Here is a 16,808-nt window from a genome sequence, read left to right on the forward strand (position 1 = left end):
CAGCACAAGGACAGAAAGAGGAAAGAGCAAGTCTGCAGCTCCAGAAGGGAGGGGCAGGGAGCCTGGCTCTGAGGCTCCAGGTATGCCCCCTGTGTGGAGCTGGGGCAGCGGGGCAGGCAGACCATTCATGCAGCAGGCAGTGAGGCATGTACCTACCATGGCTGACGCTCCTCAGGGGCCACTGATAGTGATTCTGAAAGACAGCTTCAAATCACATGGCAGGTCACATGCATGGGTGGGGCAGGCCTGGGGGTGGGGGACACACGCACACGCCAGATTGTGCACACACATGCTGTGAGGCCCCACGGCCCACATGCACACGCTAACACACATGCCCACAAACAACACGCATACGTCGCCCTCCCCGCCACCTCCCAATGCCCAGCACCCTCACCGGCCGGCACGTGCCACATGGATCTGGGGCGTGCAGCCACACGGCACGCTGAAGCACATGCGTGGGCAGAGTCACAACACAGATGCTCACCCGCACACAGAGGCATTTGCACCAGCTCCCTGCACACTCGTGCCTGGCGTGCTCAGAGGACCACCCATGCTGCTCACGGAGACAGGGCTTGCTCACTAATGTCCGGCTGTCATTTCTCCACCTCAGAGCCTTCCATGGCTCCCTACTGCCTACAGCGTTGAATCCCAACAAGTCATACTCTTTGGACTTTGAAGGTTCTCCACCCTGTGCCCCACCCTCCCCACAGAGCTCTTCCTCATTCTGTCTCTGTTCCCTGCTTTGGCCAGTGGCTATCCGCGATGTGACCCACACTACACCTCTGCCCACACTGCAGCTCTTTACCCAGTTACCCTCCAGTTCCTCACCATGTATGCCTACCTCAGTCATGCCCCAGACTGCATTGAAGCCAGGCTGCCTTGAAGAAGCTCTCCCAGACTGCCCTTTTCCCCAAGGCAGGGTCATGATTTACCAAAGGTTTCGTGTGTGTTAGCAAGACTGGAGTCGGAGCAGGCATCAAACTTTACATCCCATATGTCACACCTCACCATAGATCTGGGTGCCAAATAGCCTGAAGAGTCTGAACTCACGCTGGAAGTTAGCAAAGTGCTCCTACAGCCGCATCTGCAGTTAACATAGTATCCCTATGGCCACTGTCTCCCTTGATCCCCACAGCCATCCTAGGAGAAAGGCAGAACGTCATTTGCTAGAAGGGATGCTGAGGCTCTGGGAGGGAAAGGGACTTGCCTAAAGCCCCAGGGTGAAGCAGCATCTCTGGACTCTCATAGACAGCCTAGAGCTGCCAGCATTCCCTTAGGATCTGTGCCCTCGGGCCTGGCTTAATTTTTTCCTCTGCAAAGAGCCATCTGTAGGGCCAGAGGCTGGCAAAGCCTGACTCATTACTGGACGCCAGTTCCTTTGCCTGACTTTCAGTGATTTCTACCTTACCCTGGGGTTTTATGTTGCTTGTCTCAACACTGTCACTTCTCATTCCTCCACAAGTTGAATTGCTCACTCCAGCCACTTGAAGCATGCTCTTCTTAACACAGTTAGCTCTAGGCACATGGTTGGTGCTAAAAAGGAAAAAAAAAAGAAGAGCATTATGTCAATTTCATTGATTAACAAAAGCGATGGCTCCACTGCAAAGCAAAGTTGATACTCCTGGGCCTCTGAGTTCAAGAGCCTTTTAGACAAATGGCTCTGAGCTAAAACATGATCATGCATGCATATGCATCTGTCTTGGTCTGATGAGATAATCTGGATACTTGCTTGTTATCCTTGAGCATTTTCCTGCCTCATTAATGTATGTGTAGCCACCACAATAATAATCATAGCTAATAATGGCTACAGCTGAGGGCTTTCCTGAACCAGGCAGTGGTTTTAAAAACTTTAACCCCTAAAGCTGAGGACTTTCCTAAGCTAGATAGTGGCTTTGAAAACTTTAAAGTTTTCACATAGACTGTCATTGAATAATTTCTGTTTTTCAGATCAAGAAACTGAGACTTACTATCATATTTGGGATTAAGCTAAAAAAAAAAAAGAAAAGAAAAGAAACAGAGGCTGAACGCTGTCAAGTATTTCACAGCCAGCAGGAAATCGGAACTTGAACCCAGGCAGTCTAGCCCTGGGATCCTTTCCCCTTACCCATTATCCAGTGTTGGCTACACAAAACTAATGAGTACATATTTTCAACTATAGTTTAAGTGGGTGACATATTTTTCACTATATTTTATGTAGGTGACTTTCAGTTTGGGGGTATTCTACTTACACAATCTATTGAGCTGGATATTAACTGAGAGCAAACAGAAACTAATGAACTCTGAAAAACATAAAACATGAGCAACATGACGTCACTGCAAGAGACAAAACAGCACATAGCCTTCTTGTGACTGTATTTTGCTGACAGTCCATGAGCTGATAGCCTGAACTCAGCAGTGCTGTTCCCTTGGGAGACACACACACACACACACACACACACACACACACACACACACACACACGAGTTGGTGGTTTTCTGCCCCCCACCCCCACCCCAACACACACACGAGTTGGTGGTTGTGCTGCCCGGAGCCTCCAGTCCGCGAGTGTGAAGAACGGACCAGATGGGTCCAGCAGTGCTGGGTCAAGGCGAGGAGGGGGCAGCCGGAAGCGCGCGCATGCTCTGGACTCCTGCAGCCGCCGAAACGGGTGCGCAGGGGGCGCGCGGGTTGAGGGGTGAGGGGCGACGGGTGTGAGGGGCGAGAGGGACGGGAGCGGGGTAGGGGCAGCCCTTTCCCAGGCGGTAGCGGGGACTGTGGTGCTGTTGCCCTTTTAAGCTGCGGCTTGACAGGAGCAGCGTCTCCTGTCGGTGGAGTCTGTTACAAGGGGAGCAGCCGCCCAGGCCGCCACACAGCTCCCCGCAGAGGCCTCGGTGCCCCTTGCCATTTTCCAGCCCTACTCCGAATAGAGTTGAGGCAGCAGGGAGAGGCGGAGCTGGGAGAGCGCCGCCGAGAGGTCCCGCGGGTGGTTGCGGCCGTGACAGCGGCTCCCGACGGGCTCACCTTCCGCGCCCCTCCCGCCAGAGGTGAGAGTAAAATGTCCGTGTGAGGGTTCAAGGCCAAGCTGAGGTTGTTGGCCTCTATCTTCCACAAGAACCAGGAGCCCCCGCCGCAGCTCACGCTCCACTGCAACATCACGGTGAGGCGCCCAGTGGCGGCCTCACGGGGCAGGGCGAGGGCGGAGAGGAGGCGCCCAGAGTCCCGGGACAAAGGGGAGCCTGCCCGGGAGAGGCCCCGGTTCCCCAGGCGGGGCGAGCGCGCCCCTTTCTCCCGCGTCTGGCCCGCCCCGCTGTGTGAGGCTTGCGTGGGAGGAGGGGGAGGGCGCGTCTCTCTGGCTCCTTGCCGCGGGGCTGGCTTGGGGGCTGCCGGCACCTCTCGCCCCAGTCGCTGCGCCCTGAGGTGGGAGCCCGCGTCGCCCGCAGACCTTTTGGGGCCCATGATCGCCCTCAGTCAGCTAGCCTGCTCCCCTGGACCGCGACGGGGCGTGGCAGGGCGGCTCCCGCTGTTGTTTGAGCCCAGTGAGGGAAGGGGAAAGGCCTTTAAGATTTTCGGTTTTTTGGCCGGGCGCAGTGCTCATTCCTGTAATCCCAGCACTATGGGAGACTGAGGCAGCTGGATCTCCTGAGGTCAGGAGTTCTAGACCAGCCTGGCCAACATGGTAAAACCCTGTCTCTACTAAAAATACAAAAATTAGCCGGGCATGGTGGCAGGCGCTTCTTGAGATGGAGTCTCACTCTGTCGCCCAGGCTGGAGTGCAGTGGAGCGATCTCGGCATACTGCAGCCTCCATCTCTTGACAGTCTGTGGGTTCAAGCGATTCTCCTGCCTCAGCCTCCCGAGTAGCTGGGATTACGGGCGCCCGCCACCACGCCTGGCTAAGTTTTGTGTTGTTTAGTAGAGATGGGGTTTCATCATGTTGGCCAGGCTGGTCTCGAACTCCTGACCTCAAATGACCCATCTCTGTCTCCCAGAGTTCTGGGATTACAGGCCTGAGCCACCGCGCCCAGATCCAAGGCCCTTAAGCTTAAATGCCTCGTTCTTCAGTCAGGTTTTCCTTGTTCCCGCATGTTCAGCCAATCGTGTTTAAGGAGAAACTAACAATGAAAACGGACTCGTTGATGGAGGAAAAGTTGGAATGCAGCCTCTGGTGCTGTTTGAGCGATCCCTCTACCCCGGGTCGCTGCTGTGTTCTGGAAAGGCGCATTGTACCCTGGATGCAGCAGGTAAGAGTCCTGTCCAGGTGCTCTGCCCGCTTTTCCTTTCAGGCTTCTGTATCAGCTGTTTTTCCCCTGTAGAATGTGCCCCTGACAGCCACCCCCTAACCCTACCCAATTTGTCTTTACGTGTCTGACCATCAAGGCTCTTCTGGGTCATATTTAATTCATGCTGATATTTCCCCTTCCTCCCCTCTTTAGTCCTATTTTTGCTTTGGTTATGTTATGCTATATTCTGTAAGGCTTTAAAAAAATTTTTATGGTGGCAGGGGAGAATGTTTTATAATTATGCTTTGTGCTTTTTATCTTCCACTCAATAAATGCTTGGTAAATATTTGTTTTATTGAATGTATGACCCTATTCTAGCTATATTGTGCTTGAACAAAAACCTTAACTGCCTAGTAAGTTAACTGCTAAGAATTTGTCAGAAGTGCAGACATAACATCAAGAACTTGTCATGGATAGTACAAAAACGTCTCTTAAGGGCTTGGTGGAAGCCTGTAAATTGACTTCCTATGAAAGAGAGTGTAAGAAGTGAAAATGTAAAGCATGACTGGAGAGCCAGAGTGATGAAGCCAGGGTCCCTTTCTCCAGATCCTTTGTAACAGTGTTATGTGATCTCTTCTAGAAGATCGTTCTGAAAGATAATGCCAACTCGGAACCTAGGAAACCATCCAGTGGGTTTCTGCAGCTTAGGTGTTTCAAATCCTCATCAGCACGTTTGTTTTCTCTGCCTCAGTTTGCTTACAATGATGTTCTCAGTAGCTACAATTGCTGTCCTTGAATACGTAAGCATTTTTTTTTAGGTGACAGGGATATATGTGCATTTTTATTTTACCAAGTGTTAGAATTTTGACTCTGCTTTTGTGGGCTCTGGGTTAGCTACTTGGTTGTTGTAAAATGATTAGCAGGGAAAGCTGTGTGTGTGTGTGTGTGTGTGTGTGTGTGTAAGTTTTTGTTGTCAGAGGACTTAGAATTTTATTTTATATGGTAATTCTGTCAATTTACTTTATTCTCCACCCCACATTTATTGAACAGCAAATTATGAAAGTAATGTGTCCCATAAGCAGCCTTCAGAAGAATTACAACTGCTGTATATCTGAAATTCTTTTTTTTATTTTTTATTTTGAGATGGAGTCTCACTCTATCACCCAAGCTGGAGTACAGTGGTGCAATCTTGGCTCACTGGAACCTCTGCTGCCCAGGTTCAAGCAATTCTCCTGCCTCAGCCTCCTGAGTAGCTGGGATTACAGGCACCTGCCACCGCACCTGGCTAATTTTTGTAGCTTTAGTAGAGACAGGTTTCACCATGTTGGCCAGGCTGGTCTTGAATTCCTGACCTCGTGATCTGCCTGCCTCAGCCTCCCAAAGTGCTGGGATTACAGGTGTGAGCTACCGCACCTGGCTGAACTTTCAAGAAGAAGTTTGTGCATCAGTTTTCAAAAAATTATGATATCAAAAGATAGCTGTGCCCTACATTTGGAAAGATACAAAAACTGAACATACTGGCAGGCAGTTTTGCTTGCTGGTGCTTGAGATAGAGGCACACATTGGTCTCAGTGGAATTATGGAGAAAAATAGATAAAGTTATTTCTAAATAAGACCAAAAAATCCTTTTCTTAAGCAGTGACAGGTAAAGAGGTTGTCTTGACTAACCTTGAATTGTGTTGCCCTTGATTGAGACAGTTTTATGGTGGGATGGTAGTGGTGATAAACTTGCTGGAAATTTGTCTGCTTATAGTAACCTTTGTGGTAGCTGTCACAGACAACTTCATCCTCACAGGCCTTGAAATTAGTATAAAACTAACAGAATGGAGGAGAAACAAAGGACCTGAATAATTAGATGCTTAGATAATTGTTCCGTGTTTTCATAACTGGTGAAAAAGAGCAGTATTAGAAGCACTTACACATTCTATAGAAGGAACACTGCCTGAATTTATATTGCGATTTTTGAGCACCATTAACTGTATAAAAACAGGCATATTGTAGGTAATATTTTAAAGACAAACAGAAAATTTATCTTTTCAAGATGGATCTAAAACTTATCAAAATTACAAAATTTAAAACGTGATTGAAAAATATTAATGCATAGGTTTAAATATTGGTCATTTTAAATGTCTTTCAAAATAGATTGTCTCTTAAATATTCAACTGAACAAACTTTGAACATGTTGTAGAGTTTGTGCCAAAGGTTAAATTTCCTGGGGTGATGGATATTTTGTAATATGGAAAACAAAACCTTCTTATTTTAAGAAATTTAGAAAACTTTTAGGCAAAACTAGAAAATATTACCTATGTAATTCTACCACTCAGAAGGTGCCACTGTCAGAAATTTGTATCTTTCCAGTCATCTGCTCACCTCTTTTCTCCTGTGCTTGTATATGTTTCCTCTCCCTTAAAAATCAGATATTTGTTTGTAATCTGCTTTTTCACTCAACAGTATTGTAGATCCATGTTATAACTTACTCCTCTACATTGCCTTCAGTTATTGTGTGCTTTCTGTTGGATGACTTTACCATGTAGTCAGTCATGTTTTCTGGTACTGAATACATACGGGTATGTGTGTGTGTGCGTGCGCGTGTGTGCGTATTTTTTTGTAACTTAACTAATGCTTTAGACATCAGTAGGTAGACGTAAATCCTTGAAACCTTCCACGTGGTGACTTTCAGTTCTCATTGCTGAATTTGTTTCCAGAGATGGAAGAAATTATATTGTATGGGAACTTTTTTTTTCTTTTTTTTTTTTTTTTTTTTTGAGATGAAGTCTTGTTCTTGTCACCCAGGCTGGAGTGCAATGGCGTGATCTCACTGCAACCTCCACCTCCTGGGTTCAAGCAATTCTCCTGCCTCAGCCTCCCGAGTAGCTGAGATTACAGGCGCATGCCACCATGCCTGGCTAATTTTTGTATTTTTAGTAGAAACGGAGTTTCACCATGTTGGCCAGGCTGGTCTTGAACTCCTGACCTCAGGTGATTTGCCCACTTCAGCCTCCCAAAGTGTTGGGAATACAGGTGTGAGCCACTGTGCCCAGCCTTTTTTTCATCTCAGTACCAGCTTTTATTTATCAGATTGGTAAAAATGTTAGAAAGTGTGCAATGAAATGGGCATTCTTACAGTCATGGCAAAAAATATAATTATCTTTGACTTTCTAGAAAGTAGTTTGGCTTTCTAGAAACTTGTTTGAATTCTCCCTGTTTAGGCAGGATGAATTCTCACTACCCCAAGGTGGCCAACCTTGTCCCTGTGATTCCATCTCTCCCAGAAAGAGAGGTCTAGTCTCAGGGAAAACCCAGATTTGTTTGGCTTAGCCCATCTGACAGCTAATCACTGGAAATGGGGTGGGCTGGTAGAATGCTTTGGTCAGGTTTTGTGTTGAGAGAGAGGTGGAAAGATGGGAGGGAGGTAGCAAAACTTGCCTCAGTGGAACTATGTAAGTTAATATAGAATGGCAAAGGGATGTTTCTTCCAAGGAAGAAATTCTAGAGAAGGAAGAAAGTGGAGGGGAAGGCAGCAGTTCTCCAAGTTTTGGGGTCAGGATTCCTTTACACTCTTAAAAATACATTGAGGTCCCAAGGAGCTTTGGTTTATGTAGGGTATATCTATTGGTATTTATCACTAGAAATTAAATCAGAAATATTTAAAATATTGTTTAAAAGCTCACCACATATTGTTATAAATGCTTTTATGAAAAGAAAATTTCTAAACCCAAAGTAGTACAGTCTTACATCTTTTGCAAATTATTTTGATGTTTGATATGTCATTTGCATGATGTTTGATATGTCATTAGCAAATTGATATGTCAGTTTGCTTCTGCATTCAATTTATTGTGTGATATTTTCTTGAAAAAATGTGAACAAAGGCCAATCTCATACAGATAACCATTTTAGATCATTGTGGATATATATATTTTTTTGAGATGAGGTCTTGCCCTGTTGCCCAGGCTGGAAGGTAGTGGTGTGATCACAGCTCACTGCAGCCTCAGTCTCCAGGGACTAAGGTGATCCTCCCACCTCAGCCTCCAGAGTAGCTGGGACTACAGGTGTGTACCACCATACTTGGCTAACTTTTTGTATTTTTTGTAGAGACAGGGTTTTGCCATGTTGCCTAGGCTTCTTTTTTGATACTCCATCAAATCTTGGTTTTTCTTGAACTTTGGATCTTCCACCCTTGCATGATATTACAACATCGTGCATTGGTCACTTATAAAACAGTGGTTCACTAAGATCTTCTACATGTTGATACATTTGTACAGTATCAAAATACATTCATCAGTACCACCATCAATCTCATCAGAATACTTTTGGAAAGCGATGGTGGGCATAAGTTTTCTAAAATTCTAATTTTTTGTTCAAAAGCTTGAATTTTATTAGTAATTTTGTTATTGAATTTTATTATAGCCTGTCTGTTGTTTTCCTTGAAATGACAGAATCTCATGTTTTGAGAAAATATCTGCCAGAAATGCGAGTTAAAATAACATTTTTTGTCAGTCAGCCTTTCAAGTAAAAATGGTATTCCATTAAAGTGGTTAATTCACTTCATGACTTAGTCACTCAAGGGTTTTTCCTCAGGCAGCCTGTAGGAATGCTCATGTATACTTCCCATTTCATCACTTGAAATATTAAAAAGATATATTCAATGATTTAGATATAGTAAAATATTCACTGCTTCATCATAGACATTCTTTTTTTTTTTTTTTAATTTTCGAGACAGGGCCTTGTTCTGTCACCCAGGCTGGAGTGCAGTAGCGTGATCACAGCTCACTGCAGCCTCAACTTTCTGGGTTCAGTCAATCCTCCTGCCTCAGCCTTCCAAGACGCTGGGACTACAGGCATGCAGCCACTGTGTTCAGCTAATTTTTGTATTTTTTGTAAAGATGAGGTTTCACCAGGTTGCCCAGGCAGGTCTTGAACTCCCGGGCTCAAGGGATCCCCCTGCCTGGGCCTTCCAAAGTGCTGGAATTACAGACATGAGCCAAAATTCCCAAACTTATCATAGACATTCTTAAATGAAACTGACCTTTTGTTGCCCTTCCTTTTTATTTTTATTTTTGGAGATGGAGTTTTGCTCTGTTGCCCAGTCTGGAGTTACATAGGTGCAATTTCAGCTCAAGGCAACCTCTGCCTCCCAGGTTCAAGTGATTCTCCTGCCTCAGCCTCCTAAGTATTTGGTAATACAGGCATGCACCACCACACCGAGCTAATTTTTGTATTTTTAGTAGAGATGGGGTTTCACCATGTTGGCCAAGCTCGTCTCAAACTCCTGACCTTAAGTGATCCATCTACCTCAGCCTCCCGAAGCACTGGGATTACTGGTGTAGGCCACCATGTCCCACCCACCCTTCCTTTTTAAACCTTTCCTGTGCATAATGAAGAATACCATGACTACTAGTAGTTTGGTGTTACTGCTTTTGTTTGTGCTAAAGTACCAGCATTTTTACCCACCATTGTATTTGCACACTTACAGCAAATGTCACCATGTTAGTATTCCTGTCAAAATAGTTTGGACTTGGGGGTCTGAGGGCCGCACTTTGGGAACCATTGAAATAGGTACTTAGACGTACTAGATATCATATCTTTTCATCTACAAGGTTTTTAAAAACTTGATTTCAGTTAATTTTTTTTTGTAATTTTTAAAATATGGTTTTGAGGGGTTTCAGTCCAGAGCAACAACACGTATTTTATTTTGCTTATGCTGAAGTTTACTAGAAAATACTAACCTAACAGAATGAAGTCCTAAATCTAATTGAAATTTCCTTAGCCAAAAGTAAAAAAAAACGAAAATTAAAAGTGTAAAAATAGTCCATATGGTGTATTCTCAGTGTATGCTGAAGAATTTATAGAAGAAAATGCAATACTGAGGAACTGGTGTTCTTTAAGAATAGGGTTGGCTGGGCGCAGTGGCTCATGCCTGTAATCCCAACACTTTGGGAGGCCGAGGTGGGTGGATCATCTGAGATTAGGGGTTCGAGACCAGCCTGACCAACATAGAGAAACCCCGTCTCTACTAAAAATACAAAATTAGTGGGGCATGATGGCACATGCCTGTAATCCCAGCTACTCAGGAAGGCTGAGGCAGGAGAATTGCTTGAACCTGGGAGGTGGAGGTTGTGATGAGCTGAGATCGTGCCACTGCGCTCCAGCCTGGGCAACAAGAGCGAAACTCGGTCTCAAAAAAGAAAAAAAAGAATAGGAGTAATTCTGAAGAGTTTCTTTTAGCCTGTAAAGAGATTTGGAACACAGTAAGAGAGGAATGAGAAGAATGAGAATAGTAAAATAAACCATTATTGAAGAGATATACTGTTAATGATGTCCTCCATCAATACAACTTGTTTTTCTTTTTGTTTGTTTGTTTTTTGAGATGGAGTCTTGCTCTATCGCCAGCCTGGAGTGCAGTGGACATCTCGGCCCACTGAAACCTCTGCCTCCTGGGTTCAAGTGATTCCCCTGCCTCAGCCTCCTGAGTAGCTGGGACTACAGGCACCCGCCAGCGCGCCCAGCTAATTTTTTTGTATTTTTTTAGTAGAGATGGGGTTTCTCCGTGTTAGCCAGGACGGTCTCGATCTCCTGACCTCGTGATCCGCCCACCTCGGCCTCCCAAAGTGCTGAGATTAGAGGCGCGAGCCACCGTGCCCGGCCCATCTTGCTTTTCTTAAAAAGGAACCTTCAGTAAATATTTGGTTTCTGTGGCTTCAGCTTTAACTCAGATTACAGTTTTCAAAGCAGTGTTGCCTAAAGTTGTTTGTGCAAAATTGTTTTCTGTGACTTGAACCTAGTTATTCTGAAACTAATATATAATAATAATGGTTTTTCCCCAATTTATAATAGAGAACAGTACAAAGTAACAGCGGGAACGTCTGTTAGTGGGTGAAAGCACATAATGCATAGTTCATTAGCTTTTTTAAAAAATCACATGTAATTGTGTTACAAAAATATATGTATAGTAATGGCATTTACTTGGTATTACTTGGTTTGTGTGATAGAATAAAATATTAGAATTTTATGGTGTTTGAGTTAGTTATCTATTGCTCTGTAACAAATTGAGCAGCTTAAAATAACAAACATTATCTCAGTTTCTGTGGGTCAGGATTCTGTCCAGTTTACCTTGGGTTCACTGGCTTGGCCTCTCACCAGGCAGTGAAGGTGTTGGTGGTGGCTGTGATCATCCCAAGGCAGGATAGGGAGAGAATCTGTCTCCAAGCTCAGGTTGGCAGGATTCATCTCAGAGGCTGCTGGACTGGGCCTCCGTTTCTAGATGGCTATTGGTCAGAGGCTTTTTACAATACCTTGTCACGTGGGCCTCTCCATAGGGCACCTCATCACATGGCAACTGGCTTCCATCAGAGGGAGCAATGGAAAGAGCAGGAGAAGGGTGACTAAGGCAGGCATCGTAGTCTCCTTGTAGCCTCACCTCAGAAGCGATGTTACTTTTGCTGTATTCTCTTTGTTAGAAGTGAGTCACTAGGTCCAGGGGTGGAATTTTACAAGGGTGTGAATGGCAGGAGGTGAGGGTGATCAGGGCCATTTAAAGGCTGCCTACCAGTGTTGAAGAAAGTTGTTGACTTCTATGAGCTGTAGCAGCAGACAGTGCTATGCAAGGAGAATGGCTGTCTCAGAAGTCCAGCTCCTCACATGGGTTTAAACGTGTTGCCTTTTCCCCCATACATTTTGTTTAAATCCATGGTCATCTTGCCATTTAGTGGTGTGGTTTAATTGCATATTTGGGTTAGTCTGTATGTAAACATTTAACATAGGTGTCTCTGGGTTAAACAGGAATCCTATTCATCTTCTTCACCGATATGGTCTGTGGACTCTGATGAGCCAAATCTGACATCAGTTCTGGAACGTCTAGAAGATACTAAGGACAACAGTTCGGTAAGGAAAGAAACCAAGCTATTTTCTCTTTTCCTCATGAACATTATATTTAGAAATTAAATGTTAAATGATAATATTATATAAAAACATGATTAATAACTATAATCTTAGAGGAATTAAAGTCTGGGTATTTTAAGTCCTCCAAATCTTATTTACTACCTGGTTTCTCTTTATTATTTCCCACATGTATAATCTTAGTTTAGATTAGCAATTCGGGATCTCTTTTTCCCTGAATTCTAACCATTAAGCCAAGCAAGCATTTTGGGTGGAGACCACTAGCCAAGGTGGGAAGTAGAAAGAAGACCAAGGTGGAAGTGAAGGGAGAGATGGGGAGAATGACACCAGAACTAGTGGGAGGGAATTGCCTTTTCTTTCAAGGGTCTGTAAGTCTGCAGTAAAAGTCAAAGGTATTCAAATAGGAAGTTTTGTTTTTGTCTTTAGTATATAAAGAAGCATAACTTTCCATTTTGCAAAAACTTTAGAAATCTTTTTTCTTGATTATAAAACTTATAAGCAACCATTATTGAGAAGATTAGTAAAATATAAAAAAATAAAAATCTCACATAATTTCTCTACCTAATATAAGTACTGTTGACATGATAGCTAGTTTCTATCAGTATGTATTGCTTCTTTGTTATCAAAGTACTTATACCCTTACAGATATGTTTAAATAGTTGAGGTCATATTCTATAAATATCTATAAATAGCTGGGTGCTGTGGCTCACACCTGTAATCCCAGCACTTTGGGAGGCCGAGGCAGGCAGATCACAAGGTCAGGAGTTTGAGACCAGCCTGGCCAATATGGTGAAACCTCATCTCTACTAAAAATACAAAAATTAGCCCGGTGTGGTGGCAGGTGACTGTAGTCCCAGCTACTCGGCAGGCTGAGGCAGGAGAATTGCTTGAACCCAGGAGGCAGAGGTTTCAGTGAGTCGAGATCGCACCACTGAGGTCCAGCCTGGGTGGCAGAGCAAGACTCCATCTAAATAAATAAATTATGTATACACACACATACACACACCCTCATATATATATACACACATATGTGTGTGTATATACACACACACACACACACACACATACACCTACACATGACCGATTGCCTCGCCTCTAGCATTGGGAATCAGTCACCGTGCTGTCCTTGTGGAGTCTTGTGGCCCAACAAGAGGAAGCTCTCCCCTGACATTGCCCCTCCAAAGTGCGCCACTTCCAGTGCGCCCCACTGTCATGCCCGGCCTGTGGACAGCCAGACCCTGCCATCCCTCCCACCCCCGACCAAGCATGGGGGTGCTCTGTAGGTAGCTGTGTGGCCTGACAGTCTCTACCAGTCCTGCTGTCCCTCAGCTGAGAATCAAACCCATTTCTGGATGACAGGGAATGTGTCTTCTGCTGGCTGTGTTCTCTGTGGAGCTCAGGGGAGGGAAAAGGCCAAGCTATTTCTAGGGTGCTGTCAGGACCGATGAAAAGGTCACACCCTTTCCAAGAGACACTTTTCCTGGAAAGCCCCTGGAGCTTAGCTGGCTCTTATCCTGTGATAAGCCAGAGGCTCTGGGGGGTGAGGGAGCAGAAACCCTCCTCACCCCAGCCAACGGGGACCTGTATACCTCTGCCAGTCTCTCACTTGGCCTTGCTGCTGTCCTCTGAGACTGCCTGTTCCTCCCTCTCTGTGACTCTACACCACCATCACCTCCTCCAGGAAGTCCTCTGGATTGACTCCTAGCTTATTACATCTTTATTGTGCAGACCCTCTCCATTCAAAGCCCCTCTTCAACTGCCCCCCGCCCACTACCTCCAAGACAGAGATTCTGGGTTCTTGCAACTGCAGCCCCTCAGAGAGTGTAAGAGGGGCAGAAAAAGGAGATCAGGAGGTGAGGGAAGCAGCGCTGTCAGAGTTTCCAAAGCCCCGGCCAGCAAGGCCTCAGAGGCCTCTGTTGGAGTGGGGGCCTCCCTGGCTATGCGCTCCAGCTGCACAAGGCAGCCTCTGTGAGCCTCTCCCACTCAGCCCTACAGGAAGCAGCAGGGCCCAGCCTCAATGGACCCATTCAGACCCCAGCGCTCCGGAAAGTACCTCTGCTTCCTGCCACCATTCCACTCTGGCCAAACAGGCTCTACTCTCTTCTGATGGGAGGAGGCCGCAGGCAGGTGGTTCAGTGGTTAGGGCCAACCATCTACTTCAGTTCCTGTCTGGCCCAGATCTCTGACCTTGACCATGCCCTAGTGGGTGTATGTATACCTTTAGTGCAAGGGTGGTGTGACAGTTAATACTGAGTGTCAACTTGATTGGGTTGAAGGCTGCAAAGTATTGACCTACTGGAAGTGTCTGTGAGGGCATTGTAAAAGGAGATAAACATTTGAGTCAGTGGGCTGGGGAAGGCAGACCCACCTTTAATACTGGTGGGTACCATCTTTCTAATCAGCTGCTAGCGAATATAAAGCAGGCAGAAAAACATGAAAAGGTAAGATTGGCCTAGCTTCCCAGCCTACATCTTTCTCCCATGCTGGACACTTCCTGCCCTCTAACATCGGACTCCAGGTTCTTCAGTTTTGAGACTCGGATTGGCTCTCCTTGCTCCTCAAACTTGCAGACAGCCTATTGTGGGACCTTGTGATTGTGTAAGTTAATACTTCATAAACTCCCCTTTATATATCTATCTATATCTATATCTATTATCTATATCTATATCTATATCTATTATCTATATCTATATCTATATCTATATCTATATCTATATCTATATCTATATCTGTCTATATCTCCTATTAGTTCTGTCCCTCTAGGGAACCCTGATTAACACAGGTGGGTAGGCACAGGGAGATGTGCCCCCTTCCCCGTGGGTGCTGGGTAGGTAAATGTTTCGCAAAGGGCTTTGTTGGGGAGAGGGAACCCTGATTTTCAGTATTTGCCTCTTTTCCTGGTATAAATATTCCCACTGTGGGCAGTATCACCTGCCTCTCAAAATTCCTGAAAATTCAACAGTTGGCTCCTGGCAGCTGCTGTGAGCCGTTCCAGCCGGTGACTGTGGTGGCTCCATTCTGCAGGGCCATGTGCCCCCACCCCTTGTGCTATGGCCTCCCTCACTTTAGTGTGCTGTGTTTTGCTCTTAGGAATCAATGTCTTTGCAGATAAGGCACCCCAGTAGCTGGCCGCCACCTGCAGTTCCCTGGTCTGTCTCTTGCTGGCACCAAGCTGTGCTGTGCCTGCTGAGACTGCTGGGCCACCCCCGTGCAGATGGTCTGCGGGGCTTGCTTGATTCCCTTAGCTTCCCAGCCAAGGTGCTGGTGTTGCCAGCAGTGCTGGCAGGAGGAGGGGATAACTAGAGGGGATTTAACTCAACCCGAGGGGCTCTTACGGGATCTTTCCTGGATATCCCTCCAGGTGGGACTGGCTGCCCTGAGGGTATACAAACCTCCAACTCCTCCAATGGCTGAAGCTACTTCCTCGAGCAGATGGCAGCTGGCTCAGGCTGGCTAGGGACCAGTGCATGTGAGGTCGGTGCTGGATCACCCCATCAAGGCCATCAGCCTGTGCTTGTTCTTGGGGTTTGAGGGAAACCCAACAGGGATGAATCACAGTTTTTAACCTGTGTTTGTCTGCCCCCCAGCCCTGGACATCTGCAGGCAAAGTTAAAGTTATATTTGGCTCTTATCACCGCAAAAGGCATAGACCAGAAATTATGGCATCGGGTTGGAAGTCAGGGAGGCTAATTTGGGGAAACTGCCTGGAGGAAGCAGCAACTCAAAAGAGGAGGAGTCCCAGTGTGGGACAGAACAGGCCCTGCATAAGAACCACTAATCCCAGGCAAGCCCAGACATGGCCTTCTGCCTGGGGAGGCCCTCTTTGGCCTGCTCAGCAGACCCTCAGCCCCTTCTAGGCCCTGTCTTCAGCCTCAGACTGAGTGGTGGCCTGGGGAGGTTGGGAGCTGAGCTGTTCTCATCCCTGGTTCCTTGGCCACGGTGGAAACAATGGGGCCGGATCTGACTGCTCAGCGGGGACTGTGAATAGCTCTCTAGCAGGAAGCAACAGCAGGGGTAGTGGAGGAAGTGTGGGCCCACTTTGGTTTGACACTGCATATGGTCCCCATCTGGCCTGAGAGCCTTTACTCCTTGGCAAACTCAGGCCAATAAGCTCCTGCCCCCACCCTCAATGGCAGCTGGAAGAATGGCCTGAGGGAGAAGCAGGGATAGGTGGGCTGCACTGACATCACCCCCAGATCCCAGCCGTGGCCCCAGCCAACCCATGGAGGTGGGGCATGGCACGGCAGGTGCTGCACAGGAGCCCAAGCACAAGGGCACTTAGGAGAAGGAATCTGAGCAGGGATCAATCTGGCCTGGTGGTGATTCTCCAGAAACTCCATTCCTCAGGGCTGTGACCACCAAGCCAGGTGATCAGGCCAGTGATGTTTCCCTTTGGGCCAGGTCGGGGAGCCAGACCTGGGAGGGAGACTCCTCTGGGGCCCAGGGGAGGTGAGTCAGAGCTGGCAGAGGCCTCTGGCTCCAGGAACCTCCAAGGAGGAGACCTGAGTTGCTGGGAATTTCTGGGTCTGACCTCCTGCCAAGTCAAGGTCTGGGCTGGACACAAGGTGAGGCTGTGCCTTCTGGTGCCAGGACCAAGGAAATGCTGGGATCTGGGCAGTGCTCAGAGGCAGCACCGTATGGCAGAACCATGAGGGTGCACCAGCACGGACCCCTTTCTGCAACCCACCCATCCCTCCCTGCAGCACCTCGCCTC

General features: G+C 46.7%; 1 long non-coding RNA gene and 1 pseudogene across 1 annotated transcript, besides 4 other annotated features; one reads left to right on the forward strand and one right to left on the reverse strand.

Moving 5' to 3' along the window:
• Positions 1–716: 716 nt before the first annotated feature.
• On the reverse strand, positions 717–2,254 carry LOC102724034 (uncharacterized). The gene is made up of 3 exons (NR_120378.1): positions 2,229–2,254; positions 1,409–1,533; positions 717–1,140 (listed from the first exon to the last, which is right to left on the reverse strand). It is a non-coding gene; the product is annotated as an uncharacterized LOC102724034 (long non-coding RNA).
• Positions 3,367–3,871: an enhancer, noted in NCBI's record as "H3K4me1 hESC enhancer chr15:83114659-83115163 (GRCh37/hg19 assembly coordinates)". NCBI's record gives its function as "activates a minimal SCP1, AML or CMV promoter by ChIP-STARR-seq in primed H9 embryonic stem cells {active_cell/tissue: H9 hESC(primed)}" and the evidence as "EXISTENCE:reporter gene assay evidence [ECO:0000049][PMID:30033119]".
• Positions 4,097–12,087, forward strand: UBE2Q2P6 (UBE2Q2 pseudogene 6; annotated as a pseudogene).
• Positions 15,770–16,629: an enhancer, noted in NCBI's record as "H3K27ac-H3K4me1 hESC enhancer chr15:83127113-83127972 (GRCh37/hg19 assembly coordinates)". NCBI's record gives its function as "activates a minimal SCP1, AML or CMV promoter by ChIP-STARR-seq in primed H9 embryonic stem cells {active_cell/tissue: H9 hESC(primed)}" and the evidence as "EXISTENCE:reporter gene assay evidence [ECO:0000049][PMID:30033119]".
• Positions 15,770–16,775: a biological region, named in NCBI's record as "hESC enhancers GRCh37_chr15:82988342-82989330 and GRCh37_chr15:83127113-83127972".
• Positions 15,787–16,775: an enhancer, noted in NCBI's record as "H3K4me1 hESC enhancer chr15:82988342-82989330 (GRCh37/hg19 assembly coordinates)". NCBI's record gives its function as "activates a minimal SCP1, AML or CMV promoter by ChIP-STARR-seq in naive and primed H9 embryonic stem cells {active_cell/tissue: H9 hESC(naive and primed)}" and the evidence as "EXISTENCE:reporter gene assay evidence [ECO:0000049][PMID:30033119]".

This window comes from Homo sapiens, chromosome 15 (assembly GCF_000001405.40).
Source record: "Homo sapiens chromosome 15, GRCh38.p14 Primary Assembly".
NCBI lineage: Eukaryota > Metazoa > Chordata > Mammalia > Primates > Hominidae > Homo > Homo sapiens.